Source organism: Homo sapiens, chromosome 7 (genome assembly GCF_000001405.40).
Source record: "Homo sapiens chromosome 7, GRCh38.p14 Primary Assembly".
In the NCBI taxonomy this organism is placed as follows: domain Eukaryota; kingdom Metazoa; phylum Chordata; class Mammalia; order Primates; family Hominidae; genus Homo; species Homo sapiens.
This window is the reverse complement of record NC_000007.14, coordinates 150,398,673-150,413,925: the sequence shown is the minus strand read 5'-3', so window position 1 is coordinate 150,413,925 and position 15,253 is coordinate 150,398,673. Positions and strand designations below refer to the sequence as shown.

At 56.1% G+C, this 15,253-nt stretch overlaps 1 protein-coding gene across 16 annotated transcripts, besides 10 other annotated features; it reads right to left on the bottom strand.

Moving 5' to 3' along the window:
- Positions 1-1,455: 1,455 nt before the first annotated feature.
- LOC728743 (zinc finger domain-containing protein LOC728743) lies at positions 1,456-13,224 on the bottom strand. Of its 16 annotated transcripts, XM_047420789.1 has the most exons (4): positions 8,022-8,250; positions 5,438-6,342; positions 5,142-5,284; positions 3,868-4,655 (listed from the first exon to the last, which is right to left on the bottom strand). In XM_047420789.1, the coding sequence occupies exon 2, from the start codon at positions 6,312-6,314 to the stop codon at positions 5,703-5,705; it is 612 nt and encodes a 203-aa protein (XP_047276745.1). In that variant the 5' UTR covers positions 6,315-6,342; positions 8,022-8,250; the 3' UTR covers positions 3,868-4,655; positions 5,142-5,284; positions 5,438-5,702. The 16 variants fall into 16 exon arrangements, 12 of the variants coding, with proteins under 12 accessions (NP_001382903.1, XP_047276748.1, NP_001382904.1 ...); NM_001395974.1 differs by lacking the exons at positions 3,868-4,655; positions 5,142-5,284; positions 8,022-8,250 and adding exons at positions 1,456-3,766; positions 8,609-8,739; XM_047420792.1 differs by lacking the exons at positions 3,868-4,655; positions 5,142-5,284; positions 8,022-8,250 and adding exons at positions 1,456-3,766; positions 8,609-8,739 and having other exon boundaries at positions 6,063-6,342.
- Positions 6,928-6,977: an enhancer, noted in NCBI's record as "active region_26828". NCBI's record gives its function as "activates an Ori minimal core promoter by ATAC-STARR-seq in GM12878 lymphoblastoid cells {active_cell/tissue: GM12878}" and the evidence as "EXISTENCE:reporter gene assay evidence [ECO:0000049][PMID:35858748]".
- Positions 7,271-7,779: an enhancer, noted in NCBI's record as "H3K4me1 hESC enhancer chr7:150103235-150103743 (GRCh37/hg19 assembly coordinates)". NCBI's record gives its function as "activates a minimal SCP1, AML or CMV promoter by ChIP-STARR-seq in naive H9 embryonic stem cells {active_cell/tissue: H9 hESC(naive)}" and the evidence as "EXISTENCE:reporter gene assay evidence [ECO:0000049][PMID:30033119]".
- Positions 8,488-8,947: a silencer, noted in NCBI's record as "silent region_18779". NCBI's record gives its function as "represses an Ori minimal core promoter by ATAC-STARR-seq in GM12878 lymphoblastoid cells {active_cell/tissue: GM12878}" and the evidence as "EXISTENCE:reporter gene assay evidence [ECO:0000049][PMID:35858748]".
- Positions 10,147-10,821: an enhancer, noted in NCBI's record as "NANOG-H3K27ac-H3K4me1 hESC enhancer chr7:150100193-150100867 (GRCh37/hg19 assembly coordinates)". NCBI's record gives its function as "activates a minimal SCP1, AML or CMV promoter by ChIP-STARR-seq in naive H9 embryonic stem cells {active_cell/tissue: H9 hESC(naive)}" and the evidence as "EXISTENCE:reporter gene assay evidence [ECO:0000049][PMID:30033119]".
- Positions 10,822-11,496: an enhancer, noted in NCBI's record as "OCT4-NANOG-H3K27ac-H3K4me1 hESC enhancer chr7:150099518-150100192 (GRCh37/hg19 assembly coordinates)". NCBI's record gives its function as "activates a minimal SCP1, AML or CMV promoter by ChIP-STARR-seq in naive H9 embryonic stem cells {active_cell/tissue: H9 hESC(naive)}" and the evidence as "EXISTENCE:reporter gene assay evidence [ECO:0000049][PMID:30033119]".
- Positions 11,497-12,172: an enhancer, noted in NCBI's record as "OCT4-NANOG-H3K27ac hESC enhancer chr7:150098842-150099517 (GRCh37/hg19 assembly coordinates)". NCBI's record gives its function as "activates a minimal SCP1, AML or CMV promoter by ChIP-STARR-seq in naive and primed H9 embryonic stem cells {active_cell/tissue: H9 hESC(naive and primed)}" and the evidence as "EXISTENCE:reporter gene assay evidence [ECO:0000049][PMID:30033119]".
- Positions 12,179-12,702: an enhancer, noted in NCBI's record as "NANOG-H3K27ac-H3K4me1 hESC enhancer chr7:150098312-150098835 (GRCh37/hg19 assembly coordinates)". NCBI's record gives its function as "activates a minimal SCP1, AML or CMV promoter by ChIP-STARR-seq in primed H9 embryonic stem cells {active_cell/tissue: H9 hESC(primed)}" and the evidence as "EXISTENCE:reporter gene assay evidence [ECO:0000049][PMID:30033119]".
- Positions 12,703-13,227: an enhancer, noted in NCBI's record as "NANOG-H3K27ac-H3K4me1 hESC enhancer chr7:150097787-150098311 (GRCh37/hg19 assembly coordinates)". NCBI's record gives its function as "activates a minimal SCP1, AML or CMV promoter by ChIP-STARR-seq in primed H9 embryonic stem cells {active_cell/tissue: H9 hESC(primed)}" and the evidence as "EXISTENCE:reporter gene assay evidence [ECO:0000049][PMID:30033119]".
- Positions 13,558-14,145: an enhancer, noted in NCBI's record as "H3K27ac-H3K4me1 hESC enhancer chr7:150096869-150097456 (GRCh37/hg19 assembly coordinates)". NCBI's record gives its function as "activates a minimal SCP1, AML or CMV promoter by ChIP-STARR-seq in primed H9 embryonic stem cells {active_cell/tissue: H9 hESC(primed)}" and the evidence as "EXISTENCE:reporter gene assay evidence [ECO:0000049][PMID:30033119]".
- Positions 14,146-14,733: an enhancer, noted in NCBI's record as "H3K27ac-H3K4me1 hESC enhancer chr7:150096281-150096868 (GRCh37/hg19 assembly coordinates)". NCBI's record gives its function as "activates a minimal SCP1, AML or CMV promoter by ChIP-STARR-seq in primed H9 embryonic stem cells {active_cell/tissue: H9 hESC(primed)}" and the evidence as "EXISTENCE:reporter gene assay evidence [ECO:0000049][PMID:30033119]".

Genomic DNA, 15,253 nt, shown 5'->3' with positions numbered 1-15,253 from the left:
GCCTAAAAGGAAACTCCGTCATTGTCCTCCCTGCAAGCAGCAAGGCCAATGGAATGTCTGAGTCAAAGGCCCTCCTTGGAGGGCAATGGCAAAGTGGCGCTGGGTCTGACAGCAGATGCTGTCCGCCTGGGATCTTGAGCACATGCAGTTTCTGACTGGAGTCTGGGGTGGGAATTGCCATTGTGCGTTAACAACTCCCAGGTGACACCAACGCTGCTGGCCCGGCTTCTCCCTGCTCCACCTCCACCCAGTCCCCATAGCAAGAGTGTGGGTCTGCTGCCTGGAGTCCATCCACCCATCTTCTCATCTCTGGCTTTCCTCTGCTGAACAAAACCTTCCCACTCCCAGCACATGGACTCTAGGTGCAGCTGAGCCCCCTTGGCCATAGGTGCGCGTGTGACAAGGCCTTGCAGAACCCTGCACTCCCCTGGCCACTGAGACGGGTCTAGTAACGGGCACTGACCCGATTCGGGCCAACAAGAGTAGGACCCTCCGCTGTCTCAGATCCATTAGAGAAGGACTGGAAGCTGCCAGGCAGAAGGCTGAGCTGCCGGCTTCTTCCTGGCTGGGTCCGTGTGACCATCGAGTCACTGTACTTTTCACTTACACGAGCTCATCATTTCCTTTTTTGAAATCTGAGTTGAACACAGAACCCTGCCTGATTCACTCCCAACATCACCCACCCACGTTTCAAAGGTGCAGTCCCTAAGTTCCTTACTCACAGGACCCTCCTGGCTGACAGAGGCCATAGAAGAAGTCAGAGTCAGACGACGCAGCACAGGGTCACGGTGCCAAAGCGAGCCCACCGCACTCCAGCCAGGCATTCCATTGACGGGAAGGAAGTTACTTACCCAGGTCTCACGGCCACCCGGCGGCGGGCAGGACAGAAGGTCAGCTGTCCAGAGCGCTCTGCGAGAGGTGGTCTTCAGCCAGGTCCTACTCGGTGGGGAGGCCCAAAGAGCAATGGTAGAGTCTCTGTGCCACGCTGTGCACTCGCGTCCTTTCCATATCTACTTGTTTGCTTCTCACAACGCCATAAGGAAGAGGAGCAGGGAAGGGGACTAACCTCAGGAGAGGCATGTGCCTGGCCGAGACCTCCCATTGGAGACAGACCAGCACAGGGGCCTGGTCTCCCGACTCAAGCACTCTTAGCCGTCCACTGCTCAAGCACTGAGGGAACCGTCCGACGCTTCTCGGCAAGTCTGGCCTCACCGTGGGCTGCGCAGGCAGCAAGGGCTGCAGCCCCTATATGTGTGAGTCAGGTGCAAAGGGCAGTCACTGTGCAGGTGCCAGAAGCCTACAATAGCTCGTCACTGAGGCTCTGATGTGTGTCTTCTAGGGTCTTTGGTCACCAGGCAACCTTGAAACATAATTCCTCAAGAGATGATGGAGGCAGAGACAGAGGCCACCACCCTGCTCCCCGCTAAGCCCCAAATGACCACTCCTTACACAAGCTGATGTTGAGAGAACATTTATTCCACTCAGTCAGCTCCCGCAGGAGTCAGCAACCTGTAGAAATATCCAGGCTGGACGACCACTTCCGTGCACTCCTGCAGAGCCGGGGTGGGGGTGGGGGTCCCTGATGCTCCCACTGCCCCAAGGAGGTAAGAGCCTGAGGCCTCCGACATCCACTTTTGACCCAGGGGAGCCAGCCCACAGCCCAAGAAAAGGCACCCTTGAGTTAACTCACATACCCTCTCCCCACGTGCACTGCCCATTACCGGCCACCGACAAGCTCCAGCGCTTGAGGCACCAGTCAGCCGACAAGTGTTTCCTGAGAGTTAGGAGCCCAGTCCTGTGCTAGACCCTGGTAGGACTCAAGAGGAAATGACAGTCCCTTGCCCTCAGGGAGCTAACTGTCTAGTTAGGGACTCAAGACACACACGGAAGAGACTGGAGCGTCCATGGGACAGCACGCAGTTCGGGGGCAGGGGCTCACACCGGACCTGTTCGGAGCAGGAAGGAGGAATGTGGGCTGGGTGGTTTGGGAAGCCGGGCCCCGTGGATCAGAAGGGCTTAGCTGGGTAGAGGAGAGGAAAGGGGACATGTCCGAGCAGTATAGGGGAAGGCACAGAGGCAGGAACAAGCACAGCACAGTGATGGGCAGAGGGGGACACAAACTGCACCATTAGCACAAAAGGGGCGTGTGTGGAGGTTTCCTCTAGGTCGGCCAAGGATCAGAGCCAGACTGGAAGCTCCTGGGGCTGGGAGCACCTTCTCGTTCTCGGATCTCCCCCTGAGCATTCTGCTATTCCAGGGTGAGGCATACAGTAGGAGGTAACAATGTATGATCCAACCTGCATCGAAGACAGCAAGACTCCAGTGCAGGGATCCACAGGCTGCCCTCCAACCACGCTGACCCAAACCCATCCCAGCCCTGGTCAGTTTTGCCTTTTCTGATGTTCATTCTGGGGAGGCAGGTGAGAACTTGTAGCTTCCAGGCTGACTGGTTCAGGTGTGAAGATGGGAGGAGTCCTTGCCCTGCTGCCTGCCTGGGCCCTGTTCCCTTCAACTGCACTGCTGCATACTCAGAGAACACACAGAAAGATCCTCCACCGACCTCTCACCCTGCCCAGAGCCACAGGCACCAGGAGCGAGGCCCTCATCCTCTTCCTCCCCAGCCCACTGGGCTGAACACTTGGCCAGCTGGGAGGAACCGCTGACTGGGCTTGGTTGGTGGAAGCAGGATTCTTTCTCCCTGGGGCAGACTCAGACCAGACTCAAGCTCCCACCAGCGTCCACAGCAGTCCAGCTTCCCCTGAGACCACACAGTGAAATCAGAGCCCAGGCCAGGAGCAAAGGGCTCCTTTGTGGAAGCCAGCGGCCAGTCAGGCAGAACAAGAAACAAAACCAGAAGAGAAAATCTAGCCCAAGGGACCTCTGCCAATGTCTGGGGAAGGGAAATGAGGCTCCAGAAACCTGACGCACCATTCGTTAGGTCTGGGAGAAGGGAATGACTAAAAAGGGCTCCTCGGAATTCTTTATTCCTGAACAAGGGAAGGAGGCTTGGCCAGGGGGAGGGAGGGGCACTACTTGTACAGTGGCCTTGACTCGGGGCTCAATGTGTGACAGGTAAGGAAAGGGCAGCAGGTGAAGTCCCCAGGGCTGAGGTTCTTAGCCTGGAGTCCAGGGATGGGTTTCATTCAGGGAGTCCAGTGGCTCCTGAAATTGCTTGGGGTTTTTGAGTCTACGTCAGTTATCTGTTTTCCTAGGGAAGGTCCGTAACCTTCATCAGATTTTCCAAGGGCTTCGTGTCTCCAAAGAGCTAAGAAGCACTGCTCAGAAAGGAAAATGAAGCCTGCAGGTTTCATTCACATCTGGAAGAAGGTTTTGCCTCTAGAACCAGGTCTGCCACCAACTTGCTGTGTTAGCTTAGACCAATCACTTCCTGTCTCTGAACTCTAGCCAAGTGGTGGACCAGGCGGGAGCAGAGAAGCCAGCTCTCCACACAGGCATCGTCCTACCACCAGTGGCAGAGAGTGGGGGCCTGTGGCCAGGCAGCCAGGATGAGGTCTGCCCCAGCTGTGATTCCCACCAGGCCTGGAGAGTTTGTCCACCAGAGCTTGGAATCTGCTTCCAATTCCAGGCTCCAACCAGTCACCTCCACTGGTCACCGCAGTGCACCTCTTGAGGCAGGTCTTCTTACTGGATGTGTCCTCATGCCCGGGTGCAGTGCCAGCCAGGCCTCCATGGAACTCCATTCCTGGTCTCCGTGTCCAGATGGGTTCTGCACCTATCGGGTCTTAAGATCCTGCCCACTCTGCAACTGTCGACAGAAACAAAGAGATCAGGATCAGGTGTGGAGCCGTGACATGGCCCTGCCCAGCCACCCCTCTGGGGCTAGGAGGGAGCGATCAGCTGGCCTACCCTGAATCTGTCCTAGGGTTTGAATGAATCCTCTTTGTCCCCTACCAAGCACTGCAAGGATTACGAATCCCATTTACAGATGAGACACCTTGGGTTCAGGGCATTTTGGTGACTGACTCCAGGTGTCCGAAGCCCCTGTTTAATTTCATCTTTGCCACCAATGCTAGTCTACAGCACCTGGGAGTGGTAGGCAGAGGACAGTCTCCGAGGAGCCATAGCCACATAGCACTGAGGATGGGCAGAGGGGGCAGTGGGGAGGGACGAGTCTCCAGCACCCAGCACAGGACTGAATGTGCAGGTCCCCTCGAAGCCCCAGCTCCCTTCCTCCCAAACCACTCCCAGGGATGCCATGTCCCCTTCAAACACCCGTACCACCCCTAACACCCCTGCCCCAGCTCCTATCACATGGCCCCAAATCCTCCCTGCTCCATCGTCCACTTTTTAAGCAGTGAAGCTAAAAGGTTCTGGGATTCAGAATCCAAAACAAAGCCCTGGCTTCCACCTGTTGTACCCCTAAGTACCAACTGTGGTGTAGGCAAGCTTGGCAAACCTGTTTCCTCATCTGCCAAAAGGCTGAAGAGGCCCGTGCCTCAGAGCGCCAGCTTGGAACCAGAGGTCCTGGAGCAGAGTCCTGGCTGCCCCCTTTCTCACTGCCAGACCTTGGCCAGGCCTCTTAGCTGGGGGCCTTATGTTCTCTTGCCCAGATGACCCAAGCCCCTCGAGGCTCCAGCTCTTCCCACATCAGTCTGTCCTCACAGTGCCTCTGATTCTCCTCCTAAAGCATAAGTCTGAGATCATAGCACTCATCTCATTAAAAATCTCAGTGTCCCCACCCCCTGACCACGAAGTCCTTTGTAGGGCAAACCTCCCCTTGGGACACCTGGAGACAGTCACTGAACTATCAGGACCCCCCCTCCCTTGAAAACACCCTTCTACACACTTGCTCTTCCTAGAACAATTTTATTTGTCCCCATGACCTGGTTCAAAGCCATCAAACTCCCCTGGGTGACGAAGAGAAACCAGTCACCCTCCTCGGTCTCACCCCAGAGCACTTTGTAGGTTGGCCCCGCGTCACACACCGAGTGTGAGCACCCCGTGTCAGGGCCTGCGGTCCTCATGTGTGTCTCTGGGAGAGCCCAGCCCGGCACAGTCAGTGGCACATGGTGTGGCAGAATCAACTAAGGCTCTGTGCACCAGTGACCTCACCCTCTCTCATCCAGTAGCTGCAATATATCCCAGCGAGGAAGAGTCCCTCATCTATATCCCCAACTTACAGATGAGTAAACTGAAACATGAAGTGAAATGACATCTCAAGGACAGCAGAGAGTGTGTACAGGAGCCAGGAGGCCTAGGGGCTGAGGTTGGGCGTGGGGTTTGTGGAAAGTGGCCTCTCCAAGTCTCTTTCAACTCTGACATTCTGGGGATGAAGATCCGGTAAGCAGCTCATCACAGAGAAACCTACAGCCCGGTACCCAGACCGCCCCACCTGCCATCAAGAATCAACACCACGCACTCCACCCCCACCACTCCCAGCCCTGAGAGGGGCTCTGGCCAGCCCCGCAGGTCTCACCTGCTCTAGGCCGGATGGGCCAGAGAAGGAGAACCATGGCAGGAGCCGGAAGCAGCTGTGCGCAGCCAGCCAGAGGGTCCCGAGGGAGGAACGCGAGCGGGCGGCCGGAGCCTGGCGGCGGCCCACACCTTCAAGAGCCCAAGCCAGCGCTGCCCCTCTCCCGGGATCCCATCTAGAGAGGGAGCTGCGGCCCAGGGCCATCTCCAGGGGTCGGGGACGCACGTGCGGGGCGGGAAGCAGCCGTCGGCAGCAGGCCCCGGGCGCATCATAGCACGCGTCCTAAGTGGGCCGCCTGGCCCTCGGGCCCGTGGCCGTGGCTGCGCTGATGGGTCTTGAGCGAGCCCTCGCGCGCGAAGCTCTTGCCGCAGCGGGGGCAGAAGTAGGGCCGCCGCTCCCCGAAGACGCCGGGGCGGCGCGGGTGCGGCGCGGGCATGCGCGCGTGGGTGCGCTGGTGGTTGAGCAGGAAGCGCGGCTCGCGGAAGCAGCGGCCGCACTGCGCGCACTGGTGCGGCTTCTCGCCGCTGTGGATGCGCTGGTGCGTGAGCAGGTTCTGCTTGAGGCTGAAGCAGCGGCCGCACTCGGGGCAGGGGAAGGGCCGCTCCCCGGTGTGCGTGCGCTGGTGCACCTCGAGGTTGTGCTTGACGCTGAAGGCCTTGCCGCACTCGGGACACACGAAGGCAGCCGCGCGGCCCGCTCCGGCGTGCGCCTTCTGGTGCCGCACCAGGCTGGGCTGCTGCGAGAAGGTCTGGCCGCACAGCGGGCAGCGGTAGGGCTGCTCCTCTGCAGGGTGGTGGATGACCAGGCCTCGCTCGTCCCCCAGACCCTCCTCCCCGTCCCCCGCAGGGGACCCGCCCCCGGAGGACGCCAGCTCGGTCATGGGCACTTCCAGCTGCAATCACCAGTCCCTAGGGAGACAGAAGCGGGGGCGGGGGTGGGGGGTGGAGAGAGAGGGGTCGGGGAACACGAGGGTTAGCCAACCCCCAGCCTGGCAGGGACACTCACCTCCCACAACCTCCACCTTTCGCCCCGTTTTGTTCAAGCTCAAGTTCCCCTGCTGGGAATTGGTGTTCCTCTTCCTCCACTGCCTTTTAAGCACGGCCTACACTCCTTCCAGTCCCTTCCCAAGGGCACCTTCTCCTAGAAGCCTTCCCTGACCTTTCCACCCCGGGCTTAAACACCGTGTGACACAACCATGTGGCTCTCACTGATCATACTGCACGAGGGTCAGTCATGCCACCTCTGTCCCCCGACTCCCAGCACCCTAAGGACAGAGCTGCCTTCTTTCAACCCCAGCACCTAGCACCATGCCAGCCAGCCACACAAGACACTAGACAGATGGTGATGAGTTTCAGTTAGGATTTTCAGTTTCAGTTTCAGCTAGGATTTTCAGTTACCTTCGTCTAGATATGTCTTATCCCTCCAACCAGATCTCAAGGACAGGGGGAGGTAGGGAAGTGCACCCCAAACTTGGAGAAAAGGGTGGCATTATCAGTGATTTAAAGATATTTTTGTGAAGCTTAAAACAGGAAAAAAAACACAACCCTGTAAACTTGAAAGTGACCTCGGTTAAACATTAAAGGCGGCAGCTCTTTGTTTATCAAAATGAGGCATGTGTTCAAAAGGTTTCCAAGTCACTGAACCAGGGTGTGGGCTCCCAGGGGGACTGGTCTCAGCGTGATTCCTCTTGGTATCCTCACAGCAAAGCCTGGCCCAAGGCTGAGCAGCACCCTCAGTGCCCAGCCAACACCCCCAAACCCAGCTCCCTTCATGCTGCTTCTCCAAAGGATCCTCTTCCCAGGACACTGTGTTCCTCTTAAATTGTTTCCCATTGTCCTCACAACAGCCCTGAGAAAGGGGCGGAGCAGGGTTATTGAGCCCCACTTTAAAGATGGGGAAACTGAGGCTCAGTGAGGTCAACATACTTGCCAAGGTCACAGAGCAAGGTGAGCCTGGACTAGGCCTTAAGTCTCCTGTCTCACTGTTGAAAGCTCTTTTCAATGTACTAGCTGCTCAACAACTAAACACTCCTCAAAACACACACACACCCCCCACTGCCACCATCCCAGCCGTCACAGAGCCATGCATTCCAAAGGGCCACTTCTCCTGTAGATGCACTGTCTACTGCCACCACTCCCACGACCCCCACCAAAACTTGGGCTCCTGCAGGGCCCTAAGGCCTGCCTCATCCATTCTCCCCAACCCCATCAGGGAAGCCGGCTGAATATTCCACTGGACCTCCCCGAAGGCCTCTCTTCACTTCCAGCCTCAGTCAACCTATCTGCAGAGTGGGGTCTCAGGGCCACCTCCTCTGTCTTCCGTACCCTCGAGGCCGGGGTGGAACTGACCCTGGGGAAGGAGACAAGTCCTACTTGCAAGAGACCCCACCCACAAGTCTTTTCCACAGGCAGCTGCACTGACATCTGCAAAGACAGATCATCAAAGTCCCCTTGGCCAATCTCAGCCCGGCCCTGTGACTGGGCAGCCTCCTCACTCTCCCCAGCTATACCCCTGACTGAGGCCCCGCCTGCACGCCGAAAGGCCCCCCGTCTCTCCCCCAAGTTCTTTCCTCCCATGCCACACTCACAGCCCAGCTGAGCCCCTGCTCCTCCGGTCTCCGGCCGCAGCTCTTTGCTCTACAGTCTGCGCTGCTCAACGCAAATACGGTAACTCTCCCGCAGCGACACCCGCGCCCCTTCTCCCCGCCCCCATAAAGACGGCAAGCGTCCCGCGACGTTGCTCTTATCAAATAGCTGCATTAATCGGGAGAGCTGACCCCACCCCACCCGACCTTACACACAACCTTGCCAACTTCTGCGGCCGGAGCAACCCTGGAGAAATATGGTAAACTCTGCGTCGCAACCCCACCCCCACGAAAATACGTAGGCCTCCACCCTGCTGCCGCAACCCACCCCGCCCGACTGCAAGCCCCAGCTCCCAGAGGGAATGAATGCAGCCCACCCCCCACGGCCGCAGCGCCCCCCCGCGGAGCCACGCAACCCTGGATAAATACGTAATTAAGTCCCGGCGCTCCCACTCCCGGAAAGGACCTGCGCGGGACCCGGCAAATACGGTAGCACGCCCGCAGTGACCCGCCCCCGAGGGTCCGGCTCTGGCCTCGGTAAATACGGTAACCTCCCGCCGCGGCCCCAGCGCGGCCCCGCGCGCACTCACATGGCGCCGCCTCCCGAGCCTTCCGTCTCCGCTGCAGCGCCGCAGTCGCCGGCGTCGTCGCAGCCGCACAGCAGCCCCGTGAGGCTGGGAGGTCTAACTCTCCGGCAGCCCGGCTGGCGGAAAACGGGGCTGCCAGCGCTGCGCCCGCCCGGGCCGGAGCGGCGACCATGCGGGGGCCGGTTCCGGGGCCTGAACGTCCCACGGAGCGGGCCCTCTCAAGCCCCCCGATCCGCCGACCCAGACATTCCCCCTTTCGGGATTCCCTGAGGCCTGCATTCGGCCGTTATAGCACCATCCCTATTTTCCTAATCCCAAGGCCAGGCCCACAAACCGCCCCCAGCGACAGGAAAGAGGGTCGGACGGAGGCGCCGGCCTTTCCCCGGGTGACATGGGCTGAGCGCCGGAGCCCGGCGGCGGAGCGGCCCTGGGCGAGGGTTTCAGGACTGGAGACAATAGTCAAAGGGGCCGAATCGAGGAGCTGCCCTCGCTGACAGTTTCGCCAAAGTCTGCCTGACTATATGGCCTGGGTTATATCACTAGAGTGACCAGAGGGAAAGGAAGAAGACATCAGGCCCCTGCTGACCCCACCTCCTCAGAACGGAACCCGCAGTCAAGCCAGAGATATCCCATAAAAGAGCAACTTACGACGTCTGGAGTAGCAGCGGGCGTGAGAGGGCAGAACCAAATTACAGCTTCCAGCTGCCATTTAATGATAATGTCCCTTACTCGGACATAACTTTGCCTTTTACAAAGCCCTTTTCCATGTTATGATCTCGTGGGAACCTTCCAATAACCATGTGCACCCTACCTTGTGTGGGTTTTATCCCATTTTATAGACGGGAAAATAAAATTGAAACACAGAGTGGCTTCCTCCAACACTCACAGCTCTAAGTAGCAGAGCACAGACGGGAACACGGCACCGTGACCCAGCACCGTGGCCCAGCTTGTGTTCCACTGCACCGCCCTGGGACTGAGACCCTCAGACATAAATAGTGTGTGACGACAGGGAAGTAAAAACCTGGGCCCCAGTGAGAACGTGCCTGAGGGTGTACATTTGACAGACAAAAAAACAGAGGCCTGAGAGGAAAAGTTATTTTAAAAGTCACAAGTAGTAGAAGAACATTAAATAGGCTTTTTTCTCTGTGGCCTCTCTGTAGCTGCCAGGTGGAGAAACGCGACTCTCTCTCCAAGGCCCAGGCAGGGATCCTTGCAGCAGACAATGGATGTGGTGGTTGGGGTGGCGCTGTGCCTGATGGAGGGCATTGAGAGATGCGGGCCTCCCGATACCATGAGGGTCCTCTCTGCAGCTCTGCAGGTGCCCACTGTGCCTTCTGGAGCCTGGGAACTGAAGAATTCCAGGTGGGAGACCCCAGGCTGTAAAATCAGCCCCTTCCTCCCAACACCAGGCCTGGAGGTCAGGCCTGCCTGCTTTCACAGCTCGCTTGGAGGACCAGTCTGCCCCACCAGGCCCCACCCGTCTGGCTTGTGGCCTCTGGAGAATCCACTCCTACCCCAACCCCCACCCCATCCCTTCACTGCTCCTGGAGACACCTCACTGCTGGATGTGGGACTTTAGGAGTTCCACGTCCCACGGAAATTGGCATTTTAAACAGAGACAACGGGAAGGGAATACTAGGAAGACAAAGAAACTAGTCCATAGGACAGATGTTGAGTTCTCATGCAGTGACACCAGCACCCCAGGTGCTGATGACCAACCCCACCCGTGCCTCCACTCGGAGCACATCAACACTGCCCAGCTTTCCAGCCCCTGCTGTCACCTGCCAGAGCCCCCAGTGTTCATCTCCTCTGCAGACCATAAGAGAAATGGGGACACTCGGTGAACACCATGTTTTTCAAAAGCAAAATCAATAATATGCCTGAGGATGTCTCCCATATTTTTAGCAGCATTTCTAGGTAAGCTGAACCAAAATAGAAAGGAAAAGAACACGGCTAGGGGATGGGGGTGGACACAGACACGGGCAGTACCACCTCAAACCTGCCCTGTCTCAGCGGGGAAGCCAAGGCCCAAGGGCTCCCAGAGGCCTCCATTCTCTGCTCTGCCACGGTGGTTTGAGCTCAGGCACTTCACTTCTCTAGTTTCGTGCACATACACCCACCTCCCCTGTCTCCCCCAAGGTTCCCCCTCATCCCATTCTTAGGTGCTGCGGCAAGCACGATAGAGTGCCAATATGGAAACACCCTGCAAACACAGCCCTGCTTCATGCTTCCTCATACAGGCAGCGCAGTGGCTGGCACAGGGATCACCACTATTCTGACAGATCCATATGGCAGCTGGACTCTGGACCCTAACAAAGGCCTGGACTGCCCACAACCAAGGCGTCCTGGAGAACAGCAGACCATGGCTCCCGTGTGGGTAGATGTGTTGCTCGTGGCTCCTGTAGACCATGGGTAAACGTGTAGCTCAGGTGAACCCTGTCCCAGACTCTGCACTGTAGTCACCCTGGGGCACAACAGGTGGACAAACAGATCACCCCATGGGCCTCCTCGGGGCAGCTCCAGACCCTGCTCCCCGCATCCTCCAGCTCCTCCTGTAGGGCTGCGTCCCTAGGGCTTCCTCACTCAGCAGGGCAACCACCTCCCCCTTGACAAGCCTCTCCCATCTCCCATCTCCCAGGACTGGACAGCAGTCTGATCCCTCTCTCCAAAGCACCTTATGCTGATCCCAGATTTGGAATTTAGCACACTTTTGTTTTCCCCACCAGGTTATGAACTTCAAAGGGCAGGGACTATTTTAGCGTCTCTTTGTCCCACGTGTCCAGCATACAATAGGTCCTCAGTCGATGTCTGTTGAATGAAGGTATGCTCCTCTGCAAGCTACATCTAATAGCTCAGGCGGCGCAGAGAGAAAAGATGGCCCCCAAGGGTTTGGAGGAGGAGGAGAGCTGATGCAATGCAAGGAATGAGGAGGTGCAGGCAAAGCTGCTGCCCTGTGAGGGCTGAGTTGCTCTGCAGAGGCCTGGATGGAGATGTGAGGCTCAGCGTGAGGCCTCATCTGCTCCAAAGTTCTCTTTCCTTGGAATTAAAACCCAGGATGTGACCTATGACATCAATTCAAACCCTTAAACTTGCAGCAGGCCTGCTTCACACTGGAGATGGTTAATTCTTTATGTGGGTTAAGCTAAGCAAGGGAAAAACCCTTTTTTCCCTTTCCATGGGCACAATTGCTCTGCAAGTAACCATTCAAGTTTATTAAAACAACAATAGCTACCATTTATTGAGTGCTTGCTGTGTGCCAGGCACTATACTGCATGCTTTACATAAGTTACTTGCCCAAGGACCTATGGTTTAAATGACAAAGCCAGAATTGAACCCCAGAACTATCTGGCTCTCCCGGAGGTGGTGAGCAGAGGGGAGAAGGTGAAGGGAAAAGAAACAATGTTTCTAGCTTCTTATCAATAGGAGTGTCATCCTATCATCCCTGGGGCTGTTATGCCCAGTAGCTACGTGGGGCTATTTAAATGAATTAAAATTGAATAAAGTTCAGTTCCTCAGCCGTACAAGCCACATTTAAATACTCAATAGCCATATGTGGCTAGTGGCTATAGTCTGGACAGCACAGAAATAGAGCGCTGTCATCATCACAAAAAGTCCCCTGTTGAACAGCCTGTTTAGGACACCTCCTCCAAATCCAGTCAACCCAAAAGAGGCTGTTCTCTTTTTAGCCTAAGGGATAACTTAAGGGAGTCCATTCATTTCCCTCTCTCACTGCCCCTGCCACAATGCAGGAAGAACAGTGATATGTGAGAACACACTGTTTTTGGCCCCAATACTCCTCCTGCTGCCTAAAGGTCAAAGATATTTCTTTACTAAATTCAAACCACTAAAAAGTAACAAAAGGTTTCACATCCCCCACTCCCACCCATTTCTCTCTGCCAAGTCCACGAGGGGCCTGCCCTCTCCCTCGGCCTGTGCTATTGCATGGCTGAGCGGCTGCCTCTGGTCACTGCAGTCTACCCTCCGTCAGGCAGCTCCCCGGGACTGGGCAGTGGGACACCAAACCCTCTCAATGAGGCCGACTGCCTTACCGGACGACTTGAAGCTCGTGTCCCTTGCCAAAAAACAACCATTTTCCGAGAACCTACACCATCTTTCTTAGGTCCAGACTTGCTCCTAACAAAGAAATACAAGGATGATGCAGGCAGTTCCAGAAGCCCCAACATCACCAAGCTCACCTGGCTCCCCATGCCAGCCACTGCACCGCCTGTACGAAGCAGCGTGGCTGCATTTGCAGGATGTTTCCACATCTGTGACCACGTGGCCACAGATCCCCACTGCAGACCTGCACTTACCTGGCCTTGGAAAGAATACAAAGGTCTGCACTTACCTGGCCATAGACCCGATCTAAATCCTTTAAAGTCTTGATTTATTTACTCATGGCTGTTTTCTGTTCCCTTGGCAACCACCTTAATCTCAGCATGCTCCAGAGTATTTTGGATTGTAACCCACTAGGATAACAAATCTGACCATCTTGTCTTGGACTTAATGACAATGCCTCTTCCTAAATATCCTCTGACCCAGGTTTATCATTTTAAAATGGAAGAGAATGAGAAGTGAGAAGGACAGTACCACCCCATCCTTGCAGAAGGCTGCAATGTGACAGTAGAAGCAGCTTGGGCTAACACGAGGCCTGGGATCTGCTGTCAATTTGTAGCAGGACCTGGTGGACAGGTCACACTATCCCCACCCCCACCCTCCTTTCCCATGTGTTACTGCCCTGCCTGACTCATGGCGAGATTAAATGAGATAATGAATTAGAAAGCCTTGCTAAGAGAACTGGGGCTGGGAACCATTTTTTAAAGAGTTGAACACATAGATGGTCCCAAGCCCTGTGTGTATCAAAATGATTTTCCATAAAGGTCCTTGAGCTCTTCGGGTAGGGGCTGTGTCTCGGGCAGCATCTGAGCATGATGCCTGGCACACAGCAGGCTTCTTTAGTGAACGAATGCCGTGCAGTCCCGGCCTGGTCAGTGAGTCATACACCTCAGTCACTCTTTGCCTGAGGGATTTGACCCTGCCCCCTTTGTGACCCAAAACACCCATTTGTGGGAGGCCCAGTCACCTGGGGTCAGCGAGCAGGCATTCTCATGAATTGGTGCTGGAGAAAAAAGCTGCAATTAGGCCTCATTTTTAACCCCAAGTCCTACCAGCACAGCTATTTGACTGATTTGATCATTAAACAGGCCACTTATGGAAAATAACATGTTCTGTCGTAAAGATGCTCCTGCAGGACTGATCTCGTCAGCATCTGCTGACACTGCATCCTCCGGCACCTGAGTCACAGGGACCTAGTGTTTCCACAGATCTGTCCTTGCGGGCAGTGTTTCTCTAACCCAGGAATGAAAGACGGGACTCAGTGAGGCCTGAAGTGGGTGGGCTTGCTCAACTTGATTTCAGAATTTGGCAAGTGGCAAAGAGAAAAAAGCAAAGGACTCCTGAGCCCCCCTCCCCCACCCTGTTAAAGCAGGGTTTGATGAGCTGCAAGGCAGTCAAGCACTCCCTGGGGCGGTGCAGGATGGAAGGGGAGTTCCAGGAGAGGGGCAGGTCATTAGAGTCAGGGCAGCCCCTAGGGCTGGTGTCGGGTGGAGGGTGCCCAGGAAAACCCTCCTGGTTTGGTTTCCCGTGGTCCTAAGCGCTGAATGCTCAAGTAGGTGGTAGCAACCCCGGCGTACAACACCCCGTGTGATTTCACACTGCATGTTTTGTGATCAAAGAACGGGACGGAGATGCAGCAGCCCTGGCTGAGTGCTAACCATCATCGGCACTGTTACCCTAGTAAGCCATAACAGTCAGGGCGGCCCTCCGGGTCCACCCATCACCTTCGTATGTCCTTCCATAGATCTACAACTGGAGTATTTTCCAGATACAGAGGATTAAAGAACAGTGACCAGAAGCTAGGCTGAACCGTGGCAGCTCCCAGAAGGTAACACTTCTCTGCATACAGAGAAGGATCTGGGCTGTGAGATGGGGGCAAGTGCACTTCTTCCTTCTCTAGAGCCATGTTGGGGTCCTTTCTTCCTACCTCCCAGCTACCCAACCCTGGCACCCCAAACCCATCACCACCATCTCCAGTTCCCTCCTCTCCTCTGGGAAGACACCATCTGAGGTCACAGCCTGGGCTGGAGTCCTGGGCTCTTCTGTCAGCACCAGGGACTCAGCCAACCCTGCTTTGGAAGGGCGTGAGGGGTGACCTCTTGGGGGCAGGAGGCCGAGGAGGGTATGTGGGAAGACACTAAACTGACTTGGAGAAGGGAAGAGAGAAAACACCCCTGGCAAGAACTGGGTGTGGGGAGTGCTGTGCTCCTAGCCTGGGGCAAATGGATCTCTGAGCACACACAGACCCGGGCTTCAGCAAGGGTGGTTCAGAAAGGAAAGTGAGACCACGTGGAATATTCCATCCATTCTCTCTTCTGCAACACCAGACTGATAAGGATCCAAGCCAGTCAAGACAGCCAGCCCACTTCAGACATGCCCCAGACAGGAATAGAAGCAGCGTGTTTGGCTCTCTCCTGCACAGCTACCTCCTCAGGCAGCCAAGCCTCAGCAGAGCCCACCCCGCTCATGCCTGCCTGACCATCACACACATACCAGTTCTAGAGTCGGGCCCAACCACACACACACCTTGGG

Coding starts and splice junctions, on each gene's coding strand:
- LOC728743 (NM_001395974.1), bottom strand. CDS start 6,314: ATGACCGAGCTGGCGTCCTCCGGGGGCGGGTCCCCTGCGGGGGACGGG.